Source organism: Homo sapiens, chromosome 1 (assembly GCF_000001405.40).
Source record: "Homo sapiens chromosome 1, GRCh38.p14 Primary Assembly".
In the NCBI taxonomy this organism is placed as follows: domain Eukaryota; kingdom Metazoa; phylum Chordata; class Mammalia; order Primates; family Hominidae; genus Homo; species Homo sapiens.
This window is the reverse complement of record NC_000001.11, coordinates 26993604-27013848: the sequence shown is the minus strand read 5'-3', so window position 1 is coordinate 27013848 and position 20245 is coordinate 26993604. Positions and strand designations below refer to the sequence as shown.

Here is a 20245-nt window from a genome sequence, read left to right as displayed (position 1 = left end):
GCTAATCGGGAGGCTGAGGCAGGAGAATTGCTTGAACCCGGGAGGCGGAGCTTGCGGTAAGCCAAGATCGCGCCACTACACTCCAGCCTGGGTGACAAAGCGAGACTCTGTCTCGAGAAAAAAAAAAAAAAAAAAAAAAAAAAAGGCCTTTACCTTGGTATGCAGAGTTTATTATTATTATTAATTTTTTTTTTTTTGAGGCGGAGTCTCGCTCTGTCGCCCAGGCTGGGGTGCAGTGGCGCAATCTCGGCTCACTGCAAGCTCCGCCTCCCGGGTTCACGCCATTCTCCTGCCTCAGCCTCCCGAGTAGCTGGGACTACAGGCGCCCGCCACACACCCGGCTAATTTTTTGTATTTTTAGTAAAGACGGGGTTTCACCGTGTTAGCCAGGATGGTCTCGATCTCCTGACCTTGTCATCCGCCCACCTCGGCCTCCCAAAGTGCTGGGATTACAGGCGTGAGCCACCGCGCCGGGCCCAGAGTTGTTTATTATACCTTTCCTAGGCTCTGGAAAACTGCCAGAGCATGAGCAGTGCTGTGCAGAGTTGATCACGTGGCTCAATCTCTTTGGGCTTCTGAAAATAGCAGGACAAGGCTAGGTGACTTCTCAATTTCTTCCAGCGCTAAAAAAAAAAAACAGAAACCTGGAATTTCTCAGTGGTCTGACTCTGCTACAAACTCCGCAGGTCACTTCCCTCCCTCCTGACCCTGGCGGGGCGGGGTGGGCGCTGTCCCTTTAAGTCCAGGCCCGGGCCAATCACAGTGAACAGAAGTTCTTTAAGGACCAAAGGAGGGAATTCAGCCTGAGAAGGAGGGCGGGGCAGGGGCGTGCCCTCTAGCCAATCGGAATCTCCCTAGAGAACAGTGACTCACGTGCAAAGCTCTACAGACCAGTGTCCGGAGCGTTCAGAGGCGGGGCGGCTCTCGCTGTTGGCAGCGGCCCGGACCAATGGGCACGTCGCCCGCGGCCTATAAGAGTCCGCTGGGCCGCGGGCTGCAGGCGCTAGGGTCGGTTAGTCGTCGCCGTCTGAGGTGTTCCCTGGCTTTGTCTCGCCGTCGTTGCCGCCCCGTCCCTGCCTTCGTGCCCCCCGCCTTGGCCCCTGCCCAGCCGCTCTCCCTGTCCTCCTCCCCTTAACCACCCCCACGGTTTCTGCCGTCGGGGCCCGGGGGCCGGGCGGATGATGCCGTCGGAGAGCGGAGCTGAGCGCAGGGACCGGGCGGCTGCTCAGGTGGGGACGGCTGCGGCCACGGCGGTGGCCACGGCAGCCCCGGCAGGCGGCGGCCCCGACCCGGAGGCCTTATCGGCCTTCCCCGGACGGCACCTGAGTGGGCTGAGCTGGCCACAGGTGAAGCGACTGGACGCTCTTCTGAGCGAGCCGATTCCCATTCACGGGCGCGGCAACTTCCCCACGCTGAGCGTGCAGCCCCGGCAGATCGTGCAGGTGAGAGGACGCCAGGCGGGGGATGTGGGGGAATCCCTTCTGAGGCTCTCGTGGCTGGAAGGCATTTGTAGTCTGTTTGACTTTCTAGACAGCTAGGGAAACTGAGGAACGGGGACATGGCTGTAACAATTGCACAGCATTATGAATGGTAGACCAGACCTCCCCCTGCATCTACTAATCCTTCCCCACCTGGCTTTTCCATCTCGACTCTTGGAGAACCCTGATTCCCCACGGATCACTCACCCAGGGCCTGGCTGGGAGAGGGGAGGAGGATGTCAAGGGCATTGGGGGAAGAATTTGTCTCTGCCTGCAAGGACAAAAGACGCCAGGTGGCCCTGGGTGGGTAAGTGTGCATGCTTGAGTCCAAAATAGCTTTTCCTTCCCTATCTGGGCATCCCTGGACCTCACCCTCCTTTCCTCTCTCGAGGTTCTAGGAGCAGCCTCTGCCATTGTGCTCCTACAGCCTTTTGCTGGAGAAACCCCCCCTTCCCCCTCCACCCCGTGGAAAAGCCAAGAAAACTTGTCAGGGACTCCCTCTCTCTCAGCTGGGGTTGTGGCCCAATATTTATTAAGCCGAAGGTCAGACCTGATACCCCACCCCCAAGGGCAACATTAAGTGACCAATTTAGGTGTTTCTTCTCCTTCCCAAGATTGGAAATGAAGGCCAACCCAGGCCTCAGGCCCCACGTCCTCTCTCTCCTGAGGAAAGGGAGAAGAGAATTCTGACAGCCCCTCCCTCCTCCAACTCTTCCCTTTATCTGAACCTCAACGACCCCAAGACTGCTTTTTCATCTGTACAGCCCAGACGCTGTCATGTTCTGAAATACCACAGTGTGGTCATTATTGTACCCATTTTATAGCTGGGGCAGTTTGCCACCCAAGATTACTTAATGAGGTGAAAATCAAACCTAGGGAATTTTGGGTCTTCCCAGGAGCAGATTACAGTAGGTTCAATGTTTTCCCACCCCTTCCCCGGCTCCCAAGGTCAACTTCTAGGTGTTAGGGAGGGTCCTTTGATAAAAGAAACCAAGAAACCCAGCGAGGACTCCTGTGCGTTCCTGCCAACTGATGGCTTCCTTTGGATGAAGTAGGCCTTTCCCCTGCCTCCTACTACCTTGGCTTCCCACAGAGGGGGAGGGTTGCCTGCTGGGGGATTACCTCCCCCACCCTCCCAAGGAACTAGGAACTGGAGGGGGCGGGGGCAGATTCTCCTTGGCTGACTCACACGCGGCCCAGTGGAGTTCGCCGAGGCATTCCTCGGCTGCTCGCTGTCACCTGGGTGATTAGGAAACCAGTCGAGGCTTTAATCCCCGGGACAGTCAAGTCATTCCTGGGGCCCCAGCTGCTGCACCTCCAGGATTGTGGCCCCAGGCATGGCAGGGAGGGGAAGGTGGAGCCCAGTGTGGCAGCCCCCCTCTGCAAGAACAAGGGATACCCTGGAAGGAGGAGAAGTCCTTGCCCTGTCAGTATGGCTCAGATTGCCTCTTGGTGTCTGCTCTGTGCCAAGCCCTGTTTAGGAAACCAAGGGCACAGATGTGACTAGGACTCAGCCTCCATCCCTTCAGGTGCTCCTAGCCAGATGGGGGAGACTCCAGGTCAATAGAAGCTAACTTTACAATGCAATGGTGGTGCCATGTCCTTCTAGACCTGGGTCAGAGATAGCACAGAACAGGGAGCTGTCGGCGATGGTGAGGAAGGGCAGCAGAGACTTCAGAGCTGGGCTGGGAAGTTGGACTTCTGGATTCAGGCCCTGGACTGTTTGTTGTCAATTCTCTTTGCTGGGCTCAGTGTCCCCATCTGTTCAACTGGGATGGATAGATTAGGCTGCTGCTCTCCAACACCCTCTCTGGTTCCAGACTCCAAAGGGGACAGGTGCCTTCACCTGGTCTGTACAGCTGCCTCCACAGCGAAGAAAGTTTCTTGGAAGAAATCCACAGCTGGCAGCTTCTAAAGCTGTTGGGATGTGTGCAGGGATGGGGGCGGGGAGAGGGGGAGGGTGGTGTCGGTTGTTGCCTTGGGGCTTTTCACTGCTGCTGAGTTGTCCTATGGCTCAAAAATTGGAACCTTTCTCCCTCTACCCCCCTGCAAGGCTTTGCCTGTAGTGGCAATCTGAGTGGCTAGAGATTCTGTTCTTGCTTGTACCTGTACTAAAGGGACTCACCCTACTGTAAGGAGCCTTCCCAGAGCTACAGGCAGGGAGGCCTTTTATTGGTTGTGTAACCTTGGACAAGTCCTTTGCCTTCTCTGGGCCCAGAGGATTGAACTAGACAATCTGATTTCTCCAGCTGCAGCCAGAGGGCCTGCATCAGGCGGCAGAGCATGTGAGTTTTGTAAGCCTGCTGGCTGACGGCGTCTGTCAGTCTCCCTGCAGGTCTCAGCAGCAGCCTGGAGCAGAGTGGTTGTGGGGAGGGCCTTGGCATGGGAGAAAGGAGGGTGCAGCCACTGCCCCCTCCATGGCTGGAAAGTCTGATTCAGGAGGCACCAAGCTGCCCTGCAGTACTTGGGTGTGGTGGTATCTGGTGACCGTCTGCCAAACTGGCTGTAGTCACACCTGGGAAGGAGACAACAGCGACTGGCTGGCTGACACAGCTGGCCCCATGGCCCTGACGCAGGGGATTTAACAAGAGTACTGCTACCTACTCACTAGGCCAGATGCCAAGCCCTGGGGTGGGCACCAGCCTGGGAGCAGGAGCTGGCACTGAGTAAGGCTCAGTCAGCCCTAATGGGATCTGAGGAAGGGGCTGGTCTTCTCTGCAGGTTTGGTAGGGTCCTTGGACCAAGGTCTTTGGCCCATGCAGGCACAGCTGCCAGCTGACAGGGTGTGGGTTAGAAGTCCCACAGGCTGGACTGCAGCAACTGGCCTTGTCTGGCCAAGGCATCTCCCAACCCTCACCTTCCTGTTCCCCAACTATTCTGGCTCTGGGCTTCAGTAGCTTGAGGGTTGCCTTTGCTTTGAAATTTAGAAAGGGAAGGTGGATTAGAACACTAGTCTGCTCCTTCTGAACCCTGGGACTGTAATGTGGTAGAAACAGGATAGGCTTTGCTGTTGGCCATCCCTGGGTTTGAAGGCATCTCCACGTGATCTTGTGCAAGTGACATCACTCCTGTGAGCTTCAGTTTCCCAGGAGACCTGTCCTGGGCCAGGCACAGTGTCTCACGCCTGTAATCCCAGCACTTTGGGAGGCTGAGGCAGGGGAATAGCTTGAGTCCGGGAGTTCGAGACCAGCCTGGGCAATCTGGCAGGATTCCATCACTGTAAACAATAAAAAATTGCTGGGTGTGGTGGCACGCACGCACCTGTAGTCCCACCTACTTGGGAGGCTGAGGTTGCAGTGAGCTGAGATCGTGCCACTGCATTCACTGCATTCCACCCTCAGCTACAAAATCAGGACTCTCTCAAAAAAAAAAAAAAAAAAAAAAAAAAAAAAAGAAGGATGGAGGAAAGGAAGGTAGAGAAGGGTTTGGAAAGGCAGAAAAAAATTCCATATTAAAAAAAAAAAGACTTGGCCTGGCATAGTACCTCATGCCTGTAATCCCAGTACTTCGGGAAGCTGCGGCAGGTGGATCACCTGAGGTCAGGAGTTCAAGACCAGCTTGGCCAACATGGTGAAACCCTCTCTCTACTAAAAATACAAAAATTAGCTGAGTGTGGTGATGGGCGCCTGTAATCCCAACTATTCGGGAGGCTGAGGCAGAAGAATCACTTGAACCTGGGAGGCGGAGGTTGCAGTGAGCTGAGACTGCACCACTGCACTCCAGCCTGGATGACAGACTCAGACTCAAAAAAAAAAAGACACCTGTCCCCATAGATTCTGGCAACAAGGTCCAGTGCTCGGCACTCATTAGATGCCTAGCCTCCTTCTGCCACCCTCTGTGTTCCTGATGGCCAGCTGCTTACGCCCCATTCTCCGTGTTCCTTGTGGCCAGTTGCTTACCCTCCCATTGCCATGACAATATCTTCCCCTGGTAAAGTTGCTCCTCCCGGAAGTCTTCCTGGAGGGCGCCGCCCGCCTCTGATTGCCCCACCACAGCTTGCCTTCTCAGCACTTAGGTGCATTCTTTGTAGTAATTCCCTGGGAGGCAAGGAGAACAGCCTGGTCTGGAGCTGGGTGCTGACTTGGCAGCAAGGCAGGGTTGCAGAATCACTCAGGACAGGAATGCTGCCTGGTCACTTTCAGGACAACTTTGGGTTACTGAGAAAACTGAATGTCCCCAACCCCCAGCTTCACTCTTCTCCCTACCTGGTACCTCAGCGGAGGGACCACTTATAGGTTTATCTGTCCTGTGCCATCAGGCCTGGGGACTGTCTGAAGGCTGAGAGTTTTCACTGAGCCTTAGCTGTTTCACCACTGTAAGCCTCAGTTTCCTCATCCGAGAGCAAAAAAAGTATATAATTTTTGCCTCACTGGGTCCTTGTAAGGATGAGTTAGGATGAGTGCATTGTAGTCAAAAGGACATAGGTGAACTTGAGAATCCCAACTAACCTGGGTTCTGGTCTCAGCCTGACCGCTCTGTGACCTTGACTTTACCTCTCTGCACCTGAGGTCCTCCATCTATCAGTCAAAATAATACTCAAATGTAGGATTATGGGGAGGGTTAATGTGGTCATGAATGTGAACTGCTAACCATATTCCCAACACGTTTGAGCAGTTAGCACAGTGCCTGATACAGAACTGTTTTACTAGCAGTTTGAGAGGTAGAATAGCACGGTTAAGACTTAAACCACCGAGCGCGGTGGCTCACGCCTATAATCCCAGCACTTTGGGAGGTGTGTGGATCACGAGGTCAGGAGTTAAAGACCAGCCTGGCCAAGATGGTGAAACCCTGTCTCTACTAAAAATACAAAAATTAGCCGGGCACAGTGGCAGGCCCCTGTAATCCCAACTACTCGGGAGGCTGAGGCAGGAGAATCACTTGAACTCGGGGGACGGAGGTTGCAGTGAGTCGAGATCACGCCACTGCACTCCAACCTGAGTGGCAAAGTGAGACTCCATCTCAAAAAAAAAAAAAAAGACTTGGACTCGGAGTTTTATTCCCAGCTCTGCATTCACCAGCTGTTTGCCTTTGAGCTAGTTACTTGGCCCCTCTGTACTTCCATTTTTGCATCTGTAAAGTGTGAATAATAGTATCCACCTCACAGGGTTATTGTGAGGATTAAGTGACCTGCTGTTTAGTAAATTCTATGCAGATGTGTGCTATTATCATTGCTATTCTTCCTGAGTCATTCCTCCAGATGGGCCATTCTCAGATTAGGTTTAAAGAGTTAAATGACTCCCCCCCAACCCCCCCACCCCCACCCAATAAAAAAAAAAGTTAAATGATTTTCCAAAGGCATAACAGCTGGTTAGGGGCCAATAGTGGTTGAAGTTACCGTGATAAGTAAACGGAAGTCCTTGGTGGACCCCTGAGGCCCGCTCCTGACACCTCTCCTTCCTGCTCTCCCCTGCAGGTGGTCCGCAGCACCCTGGAGGAGCAGGGACTACATGTGCACAGTGTGCGGCTGCATGGTTCAGCTGCCAGCCACGTGCTGCACCCTGAGAGTGGCCTGGGCTACAAGGATCTGGACCTGGTGTTCCGGGTGGACCTGCGCAGTGAGGCATCCTTCCAGCTGACCAAGGCAGTGGTGCTGGCCTGCCTACTAGACTTCCTGCCGGCCGGTGTGAGCCGGGCCAAGATCACGCCACTGACACTCAAGGAGGCATACGTGCAGAAGCTGGTGAAAGTGTGCACAGACTCGGACCGCTGGAGCCTCATCTCACTGTCCAACAAGAGCGGCAAGAACGTGGAGCTCAAGTTTGTGGACTCGGTGAGACGCCAGTTTGAATTCAGCATAGACTCCTTCCAGATCATCCTGGACTCCCTGTTGCTCTTTGGCCAGTGCTCGTCCACTCCCATGTCTGAGGCCTTCCACCCAACGGTCACAGGCGAAAGCCTGTACGGGGACTTCACCGAGGCCCTGGAGCACCTGCGGCACCGTGTCATCGCCACGCGCAGTCCCGAGGAGATCCGAGGTGGTGGCCTCCTCAAGTACTGCCACCTCCTGGTGCGGGGCTTCCGGCCCCGGCCCAGCACCGATGTGCGCGCCCTGCAGCGCTACATGTGCTCCCGCTTCTTCATCGACTTTCCAGACCTGGTGGAGCAGCGGCGCACCCTAGAGCGCTACCTGGAGGCCCACTTCGGTGGGGCAGATGCAGCCCGCCGTTACGCCTGCCTGGTGACACTGCACCGGGTGGTCAACGAGAGCACCGTGTGCCTCATGAACCACGAGCGCCGCCAGACGCTGGACCTCATTGCCGCACTGGCGCTGCAGGCACTGGCTGAGCAGGGCCCAGCTGCCACTGCCGCCCTGGCCTGGCGCCCTCCAGGCACTGACGGGGTTGTGCCAGCCACTGTCAATTACTACGTGACCCCCGTGCAACCTCTCCTGGCTCACGCCTATCCCACCTGGCTGCCTTGTAACTGACTCAGACCCTGGCCAGAAGGGAAGGGACTGGGCCTCACGGGGTGGGGTGGGGCCTCCAAGAGTGTGTGGAGGACATGACCAGAGGCGCAGAATGTGCCAGGAGGCCCAGCACTGCAGGGTTGGGCCTTTGATTGAACAGACCAGACTTTCCCGAGCACGAGGCCCCTGTGGGCTTAATGCCAGCCTGGGGCTCTCAGCAGGAGGACCCTTTGGTTATTGCATCACACTTTTGGACCAGCATGCCGGTGGGGTGCAGGCGCCATTTGTCTTGGAAGTCAATTTCCTTCAGGAGACAAAGCAAGTTTGGGGTGGTAGCCTTAATGCCCAGCACCTTGGATTGATTCCCATGGTCTAAGAGGGTCTTTTTGACTAAGGCCAGCCTGTGGTGATCCCAGCAGCTTTGGAGGGCCTGCAGCCCACACACTGACTGATACATGGTATGTTACAGGGACTTGTCACTTTGGATCAGGCTGGGCCACTACAGGGCCTGATGGGCCAACTTGGGTAATCACTGGGAGGAGGGAAACTGAGGCCCGAGGCAGATACCTGGGTTTGGGGAGGGCTGGGTTTAGCCCGGTTCTCTGAACTACATACCCCCAGCTGTGAAGCCTTCCTCTTGAGGGGTTGAGGTGGGCAGTATACAGGAGCCAAGCAGCCCAGGGTGGGTCGCAGCCCAGGCCCCTTCCAGGGTGCCACTCCTTTCCCCCTTGTGTTGCAAGGAGCCCTCCTGCCTGGGAGCTTGTTCTTTGGAAGGTGCTGAGCCTGAATTTGCCACAGTCAAGTCAACGTTCCCACCCCACTGGCTTGGTTACAGGGCTCTCACATGGGGTAGGGGAGCCATACTCCCACCCCCTTGCGTATTCCCCTGGGTTTGTTGATATTTTGCACTCTTAACACCTGCCAATAAAGACGGTCTACACTGAACCTTAGTGCCATGCTTCCTCTGGGGAAAGAAGGACCTTCCGTAGCAGTGGGGGTTGCAGCTGCCTCCCCCAGTTGGAGTCTGGCTTGTACTGTGGAAGGGAGCATTTGCGGGGGCGGGGTTTGAAGCCTGGGCTATGGCTGGGGGACTGCCCCTCCTTCTCCCAACCCCAGCCGCAGCCTGACCAGCTGTATATTAAGAGCTGCTGTCTACATGTGTGACCTGCACGTTGCCTTAGCAGGTCTAGGGCTCTTGTTAAGGAGTAAATATTTTTATGTTTTCTACCTGGAATCCAAATAGCTCTGGGCCTAGACTCAGACTCTGGTGCTCAGGGGTACTTGTTCCCAGCTCTGTCTACCCCGTCTCTTCCAAGGGAGCAGCTAGAGAACAGGCTGGGTGAATCTGGACTGGAGGCCCCTCCAGTAAAGGTGGCTGAGACTGGGGAACTTGTAGGGTTCCCCCTAAGCCTGAGCCCAGGTAGGGCCTCTATTTGGGAGAGGCTCCCTCAGTCCTCCAGCTCCTTCCCTTGCCCCGAGCACTGATGGGTGTGCTCTGGCTCGCTCTAATCAGATCCCCTGGATGGGGAGGGTCTCCCCTTCCCAAACCCACATGGGGCCATGCCAGGCTGTCTAGGAGTGTCAGCCGCAAGTTCCTAGCATGCTGCGCCCTCAGAGTATCAGCCAGTCAGTCATGGGCCTGGACGCTGCCTGCTGTTTGCCCAGACTCTTTGATCCAGGGATTGCAAAGCCCTTAACATATTCAGCCTCATTAGGGGCCTCTGAAGTGGTGACTTTGATGGTTCTGGCCAGGGTGGAAAAAACAATGCTGCAGAGGAGGCCCCAGGTCACCAGGGTGAGTCCAGCCACCTCACCTGCTCTGAGTCCCTTGTGCTGCTGGGCTCAAAATGGCTGGAAAGTGAACAGAAAGGCTTTCTTTGCTTGGTGACTAAAACCAGCTCCCACCCCCATCCCAGCTGTGACCACCCAACTATGGTCATGGGAAGGACTAAGTTTGTCTCACCTCCTGAGTTGGCTATTTCAGCCTTGGCATGAGAGGCTCACAGTGTAAACACAACAGACTTACCTTTTTGGGCTGGGGGGTGGAGTTCACCTGGATGTGCTTGTTTAGTTAAGGGCTGAAAAAGCGAGAAACCCATTTGGTACATGTGTGTATACACTGCATTCAGCCACCATGTGCCAGACACCGTTCTGGGTGCTGGGAATACATCAGCAAACAAAAGACAAAATCCCTGTCCTTGTGAAGACTACATTCTAACGGAGTAGATAGAAAATAAACCGAACCGTATGGTCTTAGATGATCAGTGATATGTAAAAATATAGCAGGGTAAGGGACTGGAAATGCTGGGTTTTGAAAATTGAAAAATAAGTCAGGAGCCTGGCGCAGTGGCTCATGCCTGTAATCCCAGCACTTTGGGAGGCTGAGGTGGGCAGATCACTTGAGGTCAGTAGTTCAAAATCAACCTGGCCAACATGGTGAAACCCCATCTCTACTAAAAATACAAAAATTAGCTGGGTATGGTGGCGTGTGCCTGTAATTCCAGCTGGTCGGGAGGCTGAGGCAGGAGAATCGCTTGAACCTGGGAGGCAGAGGTTGCAGTGAGCTGAGATCATACCACTGCACTCCAGCCTGGACAACAGAGCGAGACTCCATCTCAAAAAAAAAAAAAAAAAAAAGTCAGGTGCAACTCATTGAAAGGTGATATTTGATTGAACAAAGACATAAAGGTGGTGGGAGGTGGGCATGAAGATGTTTAGAGAAAGAGCATTCCAGGCAGAGAGCTTGCCTGTGAATGTGCATGCACTGTGGCACATGTACCTGAGGGTGTCTGGCAGGCCTCGTCCAGGTGCTGGTACTGCACACACGCATGGGCCTGAGGCAGTGGGGGCGTGTGAGACAGTTATTCACAGTAGCAGCCACCATTCCTGGTGGGCTTCACTCCAGCAGGCACTATGCTGAGGTCTTCCCAATCATGATCTCCCAAATCATCCTTGCAACAACTCCACAAGGGGAAAGAAAGCATTTCCATTTGGCAGACAGAAACTGAGACCAGAGAGGTCAAAGAGGTTTGTCTGGATCCAGAGCCATTGCTGTTAACCTCTGTTCCATCCTGCTCCTGCACTGTGATTTCACATGATTGTGACAGTTGTCTCCTGTACGTATGTGACAAGGCATAATTTGACATTACTGTGACATTTGTCATTTTATATGTGACTATGGCACAGTGTAGCAGTGTGGCAAGATGTACATTTTTTTTTTCTTTTTCTGAGACGGAGTCTCGCTCTGTCGCCCAGGCTGGAGTGCAGCGGTGCGATCTCAGCTCACTGTAACCTCTGCCTCCCGTGTTCAAGCGATTCTCCTGCCTCAGCCTCCTGAGTAGCTGGGATTACAGGCACCCACCACCATGCCCAGCTAATTTTTGTATTTTTAGTAGAGACGGGGTTTCACCATGTTGGTCAGGCTGGTCTCGAACTCTTGACCTCGTGATCTGCCCACCTCGGCCTCCCAAAGTGCTGGGATTACAGGCGTGAGCCACCACACCTGGCCAAGATGTATGTTTTCTTGATATACATGTGACAGTAATTATGGCTTGTGATGACTGTCCAGGGCTCATGATGGCAGCAGCACGCCTGTGGTTTTGTTTGGGAGTGGTGCAGCGTTTCTGAGTGTGAGAAAAACACCGACTCAGTGGCTGACATGGTTCCTCCTGTGGACAGTTCCTGCAGCTACCTAAGACACCAGGACAGGCAGGAATCAGGAACTGGGACTCAGAGCCAGCAATGCAAAGGCTGAGAGGGAAAAGCCCTGTCCTCTACCTTCCAACCTTACTGTGCTCTCCAAGCAACAGTCCACCCACCCCTTCAGACCCGAGGGTTGTGGGAGCTCCGGATGGGGAAGGAGCGTTGCTGTGGACTTTGAGGAACAAGGCATAGCCTCAGACAGTTACATGATATGCTGCCCTTCCGCTTTCACTCGCCACACTTCTGCTCTGTTCCCTGGGGGCTGGCATCTGTGGACTGCATCAATGGCTCCCTTGTTCCCCGGCTTCCTGTTGGGTTGCCAATGAGACATCCCAGCGTCTTAAGGAGACTTAAGGGAGGAGTAGATATTTATTCTCTTTGTTCCCTCTCTACCAGGTTGCCATGGTTGGCCACATCTCTCAACCAAAGGTCACGGTTCTTGTCAGGGGCCCCACTCCACACAGTGACCTCTCCTCACCCTCAGACTCAGGAGTTGCAAAGGCTTCTCACTGTTGCTGGCCCCAGATTGCTGAACCATCCCATTACATTTTTTTTTTTGGGTGGAGGGGGGAGAGCACTCACCCAGGCTGGCATGCAGTGACGCGATCTCAGCTCACTGCAACCTCCGCCTCCCAGGTTCAAGCCACTCTCATGCCTCAGCCTCCCAAGGAGCTTGGACTACAGGTGCACACAACAACGCCTGGCTAATTTTTGTATTTTTAATAGGATGGGGTTTCGCCATGTTGGCCACACTGGTCTCAAACTCCTGACCTCAGGTGATCTGCCTGCCTCGGCCTCCCAAAGTACTGGGATTACAAATGTGAGCCACCAAACCCAGCCCCTTGTTAGTTTCTTAAGCCCAGCCCACGCCTTTGGAAATAGTCTGTTTTATTTCTTGAGATAGGGTCTTGTTCTGTTGCCCAGGCTGGAGCGCACAGTGGTAGGATCACAGCTCAGTGCAGCCTTGACCTCCTGGGCTCAAGCAATCCTCCCACCTCAGCCTCCTAAGTAGCTGGTACCACAGGCATGTGCCACCCCACCTGGCTAATTTTTTCATTTTTATAGAGCAGGGATCTCCCAGGCTGGTCTCGAACTCCTGAGCTCAAGCAACCCTCCTGCCTCAGCCTCCCAAAGTGCTGGGATTACAGGTGTGATCCACCATGCCAGGCCAGAATAGCCTATGTTTAAAACACTTCCCAGTTTGAGTGTGCCATCTCCTGCTTAGACACCGACTGACAAAACAGGTCCATATGGTCGCCAGCACAGTCACACTAGTCACACAACCCCCACAGGCCATGGTGCTGCCATGTTGTCACCAGTTCGCACAACCCTCCTTGGTGTCACACAGTCTCACATGTGCATTCTCATCCCTGAGCTCCGTCATCACATCCTTTAATGAGGAAGACTTCCTGAGGAGGGGGGTAAGAGCAGGCGGCTGTGAGTCAGGTCAAGGGAGAATTGGTCTGCAAATCAAAGTCAACAGGGCCAGACTGCCAAACGAAACTAAATACAAGCTGCTCCAGGAACCGTCAACTTAAAGAGCCATAATAGACACAGAGGAAAGGCAGCAAGGGCACTTGCAAAGTGAACCTCAGAACCCCATGCATTTGCCTTACATTATGGAAATTTATTCCTCCTGAATGTATAAGGCAGGAGACTAATTCAATATACATTCACTATGCAGAATTCTACAAGTTCTGGGCTATGTGTAAATGTGCCCCCCTTCCCTCCATTATCAGGATGTTTAAATGTGTTTCCTTTTTTTCATTTAAAACTTTGCTTAGATGTTTTACATTGCCATCACCTCTTCCTGAGAAAAAGGTGTGTCCCCCACCCCAACCCCTAGGAGCCAGCAGACTATCTTTCTGAGGGGCCACAAGCACACTCCCACGTGGAGAACAAGGGCAGTGGATGAAGGGAACGGGGATTTTTCAAACTAATGTTTTCCCTCAAACAGGCCTCCCGGCGCCGTTAGACTTGAAGCAATGACATCTATTAAAATGGGGACCCCAGCTGGGGGTTAAGAATGTTGTTTAAGAATGATGACGATATCTTGAAAAGAAATTCTTGGCTGGGGATGGGGTAGGGGGAAAGGGAAAAAAAATAAATTATTTTGACTTTCCCATTGGCAATGCTTGCTACGCTTAATCTGATTGCATCTCAGGGACCTGTAGCAACATCTCCAATTGTACAGTGTAAGCCAAAGTCAAATGTGGGGTATATGAAGAAATTCAGAGCATCAGCCAGTTCTCCAGAACCAGCCCCTTGCCACTGTAAAGTGAAAGGCTCCTGTGAGGAGGGCGCTGGGATTGTGTAAGGTCAATTCTCAACGTCTTCCTGAAGGCAGTGCCCAGGGAGAAAGCCGAATCCAGAGGTCCAGATCCATAGAGTGGAGGTTCTGAGGAGTTGGAAGGAGCTGGAAAGAATAATTCCAAGAGCTTTAATGGCCTCTTTCCCACAGCCACCCAGCCCCACCCAAGCCCTTCAACTTGAAATCTGCCTGAAGGGGGCGGGGGCATTGTGGAGAGAAGATGCAGGAGGCAATAGTATGGAATGGGACTCCTGGGGAAGCAGAGGTTCCCTTGGGCCTTTGTCCTTGGCTGGGATCCCCTAGCCTGAGCAGTTAGAATGGAATGTTCCTGGGATGAAAAGCCTGCCCCTCCTCCACTTCTCCCCTTATGGAGTTCCCCAGGGCCCATTCCAGGGATTCCTGATATGGTGATGCTCTAGAGAAGCAGAGGCCCACGCTGCCTGGGGGTTCTGTCCTGGCGGCCTCTCCAGGGCTGGGCAAATTGGTTCCATCATTTACGGATCTCTACTATGTGCCAAGTACTTAGTATGACTTTTCATTTAATACTCAAGTTTTCTTTTTCTTTTTGAGACGAAGTTTTGCTCTTGTTGCCCAGGCTGGAGTACACTGGCGCGATTTCGGCTCACCGCAACCTCCGCCTCCCAGGTTCAAGCGATTCTCCTGTCTCAGCCTTCGGAGTAGCTGGGATTACAGGGGTATGCCACCACGCCCGGCTAATTTTTGTATGTTTAGTAGAGATGGGATTTCACCCTGTTAGCCAGCCCAGATCTACAGGGAGAGGAGGCAGCCCTCCAAGGCAAGCCCTTGGGAGGCTTGAGCCCTGAGCATCCTTGGCCCACCCTCCTCAGAAGCCAGGTTGCTGACTCAGCCTGACTCACCCCCAGGGCCCAGCCAGGTTGGGGTGTGCCCAAACTCTGGGAGGGGCACCTTCTGCCACCCCTCCAGCATCTCATGTCCCTTCCAATACCCAAGGACCAAGGGTCACTATACACAGCCTTGAATGTGGGAGCCCAGATATCCCCCTAAACGGACCTCTCTTTAGCCTGATAAATGAATCACCATATATCCTAATGTTTAAGAGATCCCTCACTTATAGCTCCTATGTCTTTGGGCAAGTCACCCGCCCTCCCTCTCTGTTTCTTCACCTGTGGAAATGGGAATAATAACCCTTACTTTGCAGAGTGGTTGGGAGAACCGGAACAGATTAATGGGTGTAAAGTGCTCAGGGGCCTGGCATAGAGGAGGTGGTTAAGATATTATTCCAGAACCAAGAGTTCCCTTCCCCCATCGCCCCTGGCCAGGGTGCAGTCAAGGACCAATGGGGGAAGAAGTAGGTTGGGGATCTCCAGGCTTTCCCAAATACCTCCTCCTGCACCGCTCTCATGACAGCAGGCCTCTCCTTCAGCTCTGAGAAGCCTAAGCACCCGAGTTGTTCTTGAAGAACCCACCAACAGGGGAGCGGCTGCAGGCTTGGACCACCTTGGCCAGGTTCTGTGGCTCCAGCCTAATCTCTAAGAGGCAACACTGGCCACCACTGGCAGTGGGACCCTGGGTTCTGATCAATTAGTGTAACAAATCTGTGAATACAAAATAACTCTGGTCTTTTATCCTGATAGTGACCCCAACAAGGGCTACCTGTCTTTTCTGGAAGTCTTTCCTAATGGGTCTTCTCCCTGGGGTTCCAGGCTCAGCCCAACCAAAGGAGCTTCCTTTGCTCCCCCCTTTTTTTTTCAGTAGAGGCGGGGTTTCACCATGTTAGTCACGATGGTCTCGATCTCCTGACCTCGTGATCCGCCCGCCTCAAACTCCCAAAGTGTTGGGAGTACAGGTGTGAGCCACCGCACCCGGCCTTGCTCCCCTTTCAAAGAGGGTTCCCGCCCCTAGGGAGCCGGTGATGGGCACAGCTCTGGCCTCTAGTCCCACTCCACCCAGGAAGCTATCCCCAGAACTACACTCCCACTCTAGGGCTGCGCTGACCGCGACTACCCTGCTCGTTCTCCCAGGCCCCTGCAGCTCAAGGTCTAGGAAGCCCCGGGGACTACCGGGCAAAGGGATGATTGGGGGCAGGAACAATAAAGGACTGAACCTCCTCCAGGCCACACCCCTTCGTCTCGAGAAAGCAGCCCCACACTGCCCTCTGGTGGCAACGCTCACATGGTTATCCAGTTGAGGGGCAGGTCCCAGATTAGAACCTTGAACTGGTCTCCCAGCCCCAAGCACCAGCCTGAAGAAAGGCTCCTGTTCCCCCCTCATTTCCCTTTGCTGAGATATAAATTCATTGGTGGCCGTCAGTGTCCTCAATGCACAGGTCCCCCAAGATCCCTGTACTCAGTCCTGTCCCCAGAGCTGGGGGCCACCAAGAAAGTGTTCTGAAAGTCATGTGGGGAAAAGGGGTGGGTCAGCCTTCTGTCCGAGGCTAGAGCTGGCCTCCAACAAACTGCTCAGCCCCCAAGGGATCCCCTGGGATGGTGACAGCCAGAAAAGCCTGCCTGGAAAAGAGCCAGGAGACATAAGCCCTTAAAAGTAGAGACCCTCCTCTGATTTGGCTCTGCTTTCTGAGCCCCTATCAATATTTGCTAATTAAGAAGAAAATGGAGGCAGACGGGTGAGCTTTTTTTTTTTTTTTTTTTTTTCTTGAGACACAGTCTTGCTCTGTTGCCCAGGCTGGAGTGCGGTGCAACCTCCACCTCCCGAGTTCAAGCAATTCTTTCTCAGCCTCCCGAGTAGCTGGGATTACAGGCACCTGCCACCACGCCCAGCTAATTTTTGTTATTTTTAGTAGAGAAGGGGTTTCACTATGTTGGCCAGCCTGGTCTTGAACTCCTGACATCAAGTGATTGGCCCTCGTGGGCCTCCCAAAGTGCTGGGATTACAGGCATGAGCCACCGCACCCAGCCTGAATAAAGCCAGACGGGTGAGCTTCTAGAGGGGGCCCTGGAGGGTCAGGCAGGTGTGGGAGGTGCCTTTTGTTAGTTGGCTATGTGGTAATGGACATAGCACTAACTAGGAGCTGGGGTTCAAGTCTACATGTGTGTGCCCTGGCCAGGAAGCTTGATGAGGAGCAGTGGGACATCTGGAAGTGGAGGGAGGGGGCAGAGCTGCCTGTGACACCAGGACCAATCTCCATTTACTACCCTCTACTTCACACACACACACACACTAGCCAGTGTCGTCTCTAATTCTCTACTCACCCACCCCACCCCCAAATCGGGACAAGCTGATTACAAATAAATCCTGGAGAAAGCCAAAACTGTGATGGCACCGAGCACTTTACACCATTAGCTAAAAGCTTCTCCGGACCAAGTGCCCCCTCCCATGCAACCCAGAAAACAAATGGTCCTGGCTGCAGCCCAGCACCAAGGCCTGAGCTCAGCTCTTTCCAAGATGTCCTGTCCTCTCTAAGCCTCTAGACCCCAAATGACCCAAGTGGCTTTGGAAGGTGTTCCCTGTTTGGAAAGACCAGAGGATGGCATTGCCCCCTTCATTACTTCCCTGGGGTTCCCTAACTTTGTCAGAGGCTCTGAGACTCCCTCCTGAACCTCCCTTCCCCAGCTAAGAAAGGGTTCAGGAAAGCCTTGCTGTTAGCCGAGAAACCAGCCAAAAAGTTTGGTATCCAGGGAGAAGGGCTGATGAGGGAGGATCCCATAAGGGCCCCAAGCCTCAGCCTATCAGAGCAGTGCACCTGACCCTCCCAGATTCCTGTGGAAGGAAGCATCCTCCCCACTTCACCCCATTCCCAAGCCCTGACTCAAGGAGGGACTGAGGAAAGAGGCCCAGAGAGGGGGCAGAGTTGTTCTAAGTCACAGAGCAGACAGGATCCAGAGGACAACTCTCCCTAGCCCCTGCCCAGGGTACTGTGGGAGGTGCACACACAGGCCAGGGACCTTGATTCTTCCCTCACTGGCATGTGACCTTGAGAAATCCCCTCTCCACCCTGCAAAAGTAGGACTTTAAATTAGCTCATGGCTCTATCAGCAAAAGCAGTGCCTGTTTCCAGGTGTGAGTTAAAATAATACATTATCAGCCAGGTGCAGTGGCTCACACCTGTAATCCCAACACTTTGGGAGGCCGAAGCGGACAGATCACCGGAGGTCGGGAGTTCAAGAACAGCCTGACCAACATGGAGAAACCCGGTCTCTACCAAAAATACAAAATGAGATGGGCATAGTGGCACATGCCTGTAATCCCAGCTACTTGGGAGGCTGAGGCAGGAGAATCGCTTGAATCCGGGAGGTGGAGGTTGCAGTGAGCCAAGATCGCACCATTGCACTTCAGCCTGGGCAACAAGAGCGAAACACTGTCTCAAAACAAACAACAACAACAAAAAAATTATCTTTCCATGATTTAGTGAGGAAGAAGAAGGACCTCTGCCCTGGGTTAACGTCACCACAGCCCCTCTGGGAGGTTAAGAGATCCACTTCGCAGACTGATAAGTGAGAGTGAAATTAACTCAGCTGGTGAGCAGCAATGTGGTAGCCAGGTCATTCACAGTGGGGACAGAGGAATGGGAGACTGAAGGGCATCTGGACAGGAAGAGAAGCAGATCTCACCTCAGATCTGGCTCTTTAAGGCCCCCCTTTCTGGAAGCTGATACCACACCTGCCCCCTTGGGGCCTGTTAAAGGGTATCACCTGGTTCCAACCTGGCCGAGCCATCTTAGTAACAGGTTGGGAGTTAAGCCTCTAGGTTCTGCTATGTAAGGATCCCTGGGTGAGCAGGTGCCAGACATCCTGTCCTGGTTATGTGAGTCAGGCTGTAATTTTTGCGAACCTGCATGACGGCATAAGAAAAGCTGTCTCCTAGAAGAAGAAGGGCCTAAGTATGAAGAGAACAAATCCTAAACCTCTCTGGGATTCCGTCTCCCCAAAGGTGAAACAGGCCTAGAGGGGGAATTCAGTGGTACAGCCCTGTGCCAGCCTCCACCCCATCCTGGGGCCTCATTATTCTGTCCTCCCGAAGGCACGGAGCTGGGCGGCGCCAGGAAGCAGCATCCTCAAGGGCAAGACTGCTCACAGCTCCGAGGGGCCCGGGAAAGGCCACGCAAGTGGGGGTGAGGATGGGGGGTGCTGCATCCGTGCGGCAGGTTCCAAGTGGTAAAAGTTTGCCGCCAACCCGTTCCTGGGATCTGAGCCCCCTCAAGAGTCCAACTCTTATAATGGAGACTTGATGCTACCACCTCTCACTCTCCAGATGGTCGGGAGAGGCGGCAACAGAAAGTGGCAGCTTTACTAGGGACCCAGCAGACGCCAGAAGCTCCAGGGAAGGGAGTTCCCGGGCCCTGGACCAGCCCCCCACACGCCATGACCGACCCTCGAACGCACCAGCCGCTAAGACCGCACCTCAGCCTCCTCTACTGGGCCCCTGGCCCCCAACTGCCTCTTCCTGCGGATCCGTAGTCCTTCCAGCCGGCGTCCGCGATCAGTCGGTCGGTCGGCACCTCGGCGAAGCTTGTCGGGGTGGCCAGGGGTCCGGGCGTGGAGGTCAGCGCTGCGGGGAGGCGGGGCCGCGGGGCGGGCTGCGGCGGAAGGGCGAGTCGGGCTCGGGGCCGTGGCCGCGCCGCAGTCGCCCGGCACCCCAGGGCACGCAGCCGCCCAGGCCCAGCGCCGAGGCCAGCAGCGCGGGGGGTCGGCCGCGGCGGCCGCGGCGCGGGCCCTTCTTGAGGCGCGACCCGTGAGCCGCCAGGTAGAGCTCGGCCTGCGCCACGCCGCCGCTCAGGCGGCTCAGGCTCTCCGCGCGGTGCGCCAGGCGCAGCTCGGCCGCCAAGAAAACGCGGTGCAGCTGCAGCACGCGGCTCTCCAGCTCCGACACCAGGCGCCGGCGGCCCTCCACCTCCAGCAGCCGCCGCCGTGCTTCGGCCAGCTCCAGCGCGCGGCCCCCCGCCCCCGCAGCCGCGCCAGAGCCCCCTCCGGGGCCGGCGAGCCCCGCGATCCCGCTAGCGCCCTGGCGCCAGCGCTGCAGCTCCTGGTCCTCGGCCGCGCCTGCTGAAGCCCCAGCTGCGTCCGGCAGCGGCGGGGACTGACCCGGGGTCGGGGTAGGAGTCAAGGTCGGAGTTGGGGGCGGGGGCTGAGAGGACGGCATGGGATCCCAGGGCGGCGGCGGCGACCTCTGCTCTGCCGTCCCCTCCTGGGCCCCCGGGCCGCAGGCGCTGATGCGGCAGCCCGGCATCCCCCGCCCCCCACCGGCGGTCTGCGGCTGTAGGTGCGCAGGGAGGATGACCACAGCACACCCGAACAGCTAGACACGGCCACAGCCCCCACCCCAGAGGCGCGCCCGCCGTCCGCGCATCTTATAGAACACGGGGCGGAGCGACGGGCGGCACAGCCAATCAGAGACAGGCACGCCCTGAAT

The 20245-nt window shown here is 55.0% G+C and overlaps 2 protein-coding genes across 3 annotated transcripts, besides 18 other annotated features; one reads left to right on the top strand and one right to left on the bottom strand.

Annotated features, from left to right (window-relative positions):
- Positions 445–1099: an enhancer, noted in NCBI's record as "H3K27ac-H3K4me1 hESC enhancer chr1:27339241-27339895 (GRCh37/hg19 assembly coordinates)". NCBI's record gives its function as "activates a minimal SCP1, AML or CMV promoter by ChIP-STARR-seq in primed H9 embryonic stem cells {active_cell/tissue: H9 hESC(primed)}" and the evidence as "EXISTENCE:reporter gene assay evidence [ECO:0000049][PMID:30033119]".
- Positions 999–8829, top strand: TENT5B (terminal nucleotidyltransferase 5B). Its single transcript, NM_052943.4, has 2 exons — positions 999–1442; positions 6892–8829. The coding sequence occupies exons 1-2, from the start codon at positions 1179–1181 to the stop codon at positions 7903–7905; spliced, it is 1278 nt and encodes a 425-aa protein (NP_443175.2). The 5' UTR covers positions 999–1178; the 3' UTR covers positions 7906–8829.
- Positions 1100–1753: an enhancer, noted in NCBI's record as "H3K27ac hESC enhancer chr1:27338587-27339240 (GRCh37/hg19 assembly coordinates)". NCBI's record gives its function as "activates a minimal SCP1, AML or CMV promoter by ChIP-STARR-seq in naive and primed H9 embryonic stem cells {active_cell/tissue: H9 hESC(naive and primed)}" and the evidence as "EXISTENCE:reporter gene assay evidence [ECO:0000049][PMID:30033119]".
- Positions 4870–5513: an enhancer, noted in NCBI's record as "OCT4-NANOG-H3K27ac hESC enhancer chr1:27334827-27335470 (GRCh37/hg19 assembly coordinates)". NCBI's record gives its function as "activates a minimal SCP1, AML or CMV promoter by ChIP-STARR-seq in primed H9 embryonic stem cells {active_cell/tissue: H9 hESC(primed)}" and the evidence as "EXISTENCE:reporter gene assay evidence [ECO:0000049][PMID:30033119]".
- Positions 6158–6801: an enhancer, noted in NCBI's record as "OCT4-NANOG-H3K27ac-H3K4me1 hESC enhancer chr1:27333539-27334182 (GRCh37/hg19 assembly coordinates)". NCBI's record gives its function as "activates a minimal SCP1, AML or CMV promoter by ChIP-STARR-seq in naive and primed H9 embryonic stem cells {active_cell/tissue: H9 hESC(naive and primed)}" and the evidence as "EXISTENCE:reporter gene assay evidence [ECO:0000049][PMID:30033119]".
- Positions 6802–7445: an enhancer, noted in NCBI's record as "OCT4-NANOG-H3K27ac-H3K4me1 hESC enhancer chr1:27332895-27333538 (GRCh37/hg19 assembly coordinates)". NCBI's record gives its function as "activates a minimal SCP1, AML or CMV promoter by ChIP-STARR-seq in primed H9 embryonic stem cells {active_cell/tissue: H9 hESC(primed)}" and the evidence as "EXISTENCE:reporter gene assay evidence [ECO:0000049][PMID:30033119]".
- Positions 7446–8089: an enhancer, noted in NCBI's record as "NANOG-H3K27ac-H3K4me1 hESC enhancer chr1:27332251-27332894 (GRCh37/hg19 assembly coordinates)". NCBI's record gives its function as "activates a minimal SCP1, AML or CMV promoter by ChIP-STARR-seq in primed H9 embryonic stem cells {active_cell/tissue: H9 hESC(primed)}" and the evidence as "EXISTENCE:reporter gene assay evidence [ECO:0000049][PMID:30033119]".
- Positions 9378–10022: an enhancer, noted in NCBI's record as "NANOG-H3K27ac-H3K4me1 hESC enhancer chr1:27330318-27330962 (GRCh37/hg19 assembly coordinates)". NCBI's record gives its function as "activates a minimal SCP1, AML or CMV promoter by ChIP-STARR-seq in naive H9 embryonic stem cells {active_cell/tissue: H9 hESC(naive)}" and the evidence as "EXISTENCE:reporter gene assay evidence [ECO:0000049][PMID:30033119]".
- Positions 11450–12053: an enhancer, noted in NCBI's record as "H3K27ac-H3K4me1 hESC enhancer chr1:27328287-27328890 (GRCh37/hg19 assembly coordinates)". NCBI's record gives its function as "activates a minimal SCP1, AML or CMV promoter by ChIP-STARR-seq in naive H9 embryonic stem cells {active_cell/tissue: H9 hESC(naive)}" and the evidence as "EXISTENCE:reporter gene assay evidence [ECO:0000049][PMID:30033119]".
- Positions 11573–11732: an enhancer, noted in NCBI's record as "active region_535". NCBI's record gives its function as "activates an Ori minimal core promoter by ATAC-STARR-seq in GM12878 lymphoblastoid cells {active_cell/tissue: GM12878}" and the evidence as "EXISTENCE:reporter gene assay evidence [ECO:0000049][PMID:35858748]".
- On the bottom strand, positions 12963–20157 carry TRNP1 (TMF1 regulated nuclear protein 1). 2 transcript variants are annotated; one of them, XM_005245867.4, is made up of 2 exons: positions 19219–20157; positions 12963–14002 (listed from the first exon to the last, which is right to left on the bottom strand). In XM_005245867.4, exon 1 carries the CDS (start codon positions 20060–20062, stop codon positions 19379–19381), a length of 684 nt encoding a protein of 227 aa, XP_005245924.1. In that variant the 5' UTR covers positions 20063–20157; the 3' UTR covers positions 12963–14002; positions 19219–19378. The 2 variants fall into 2 exon arrangements, with proteins under 2 accessions (XP_005245924.1, NP_001013664.2); NM_001013642.3 differs by having other exon boundaries at positions 19237–20157.
- Positions 13754–14953: an enhancer, noted in NCBI's record as "P300/CBP strongly-dependent group 1 enhancer chr1:27325387-27326586 (GRCh37/hg19 assembly coordinates)". NCBI's record gives its function as "activates an origin of replication core promoter dependent on BRD2, BRD4, P300/CBP, MED14 and CDK7 cofactors, with strong dependence on P300/CBP, by STARR-seq in HCT116 cells {active_cell/tissue: HCT116}" and the evidence as "EXISTENCE:reporter gene assay evidence [ECO:0000049][PMID:35650434]".
- Positions 15682–16287: an enhancer, noted in NCBI's record as "H3K27ac-H3K4me1 hESC enhancer chr1:27324053-27324658 (GRCh37/hg19 assembly coordinates)". NCBI's record gives its function as "activates a minimal SCP1, AML or CMV promoter by ChIP-STARR-seq in naive H9 embryonic stem cells {active_cell/tissue: H9 hESC(naive)}" and the evidence as "EXISTENCE:reporter gene assay evidence [ECO:0000049][PMID:30033119]".
- Positions 15735–15854: an enhancer, noted in NCBI's record as "active region_534". NCBI's record gives its function as "activates an Ori minimal core promoter by ATAC-STARR-seq in GM12878 lymphoblastoid cells {active_cell/tissue: GM12878}" and the evidence as "EXISTENCE:reporter gene assay evidence [ECO:0000049][PMID:35858748]".
- Positions 15865–15924: an enhancer, noted in NCBI's record as "active region_533". NCBI's record gives its function as "activates an Ori minimal core promoter by ATAC-STARR-seq in GM12878 lymphoblastoid cells {active_cell/tissue: GM12878}" and the evidence as "EXISTENCE:reporter gene assay evidence [ECO:0000049][PMID:35858748]".
- Positions 15877–16171: an enhancer, noted in NCBI's record as "tiled region #4179; HepG2 Activating DNase unmatched - State 1:Tss, and K562 Activating DNase matched - State 4:PromP". NCBI's record gives its function as "activates a minimal TATA promoter and a strong SV40 promoter by Sharpr-MPRA in HepG2 and K562 cells {active_cell/tissue: HepG2 | K562}" and the evidence as "EXISTENCE:reporter gene assay evidence [ECO:0000049][PMID:27701403]".
- Positions 19660–20160: an enhancer, noted in NCBI's record as "H3K27ac hESC enhancer chr1:27320180-27320680 (GRCh37/hg19 assembly coordinates)". NCBI's record gives its function as "activates a minimal SCP1, AML or CMV promoter by ChIP-STARR-seq in primed H9 embryonic stem cells {active_cell/tissue: H9 hESC(primed)}" and the evidence as "EXISTENCE:reporter gene assay evidence [ECO:0000049][PMID:30033119]".
- Positions 19660–20244: a biological region, named in NCBI's record as "H3K27ac hESC enhancer GRCh37_chr1:27320180-27320680".
- Positions 19825–19884: a silencer, noted in NCBI's record as "silent region_500". NCBI's record gives its function as "represses an Ori minimal core promoter by ATAC-STARR-seq in GM12878 lymphoblastoid cells {active_cell/tissue: GM12878}" and the evidence as "EXISTENCE:reporter gene assay evidence [ECO:0000049][PMID:35858748]".
- Positions 19915–20244: a silencer, noted in NCBI's record as "silent region_499". NCBI's record gives its function as "represses an Ori minimal core promoter by ATAC-STARR-seq in GM12878 lymphoblastoid cells {active_cell/tissue: GM12878}" and the evidence as "EXISTENCE:reporter gene assay evidence [ECO:0000049][PMID:35858748]".

Excerpts from the sequence above, each read along its gene's own strand:
- TENT5B (NM_052943.4), top strand. The coding sequence starts at position 1,179 with ATGATGCCGTCGGAGAGCGGAGCTGAGCGCAGGGACCGGGCGGCTGCT. Across the intron at positions 1,443-6,891 it reads AGCCCCGGCAGATCGTGCAG|GTGGTCCGCAGCACCCTGGA; the intron begins GTGAGAGGACGC and ends TCTCCCCTGCAG.
- TRNP1 (XM_005245867.4), bottom strand. The coding sequence starts at position 20,062 with ATGCCGGGCTGCCGCATCAGCGCCTGCGGCCCGGGGGCCCAGGAGGGG.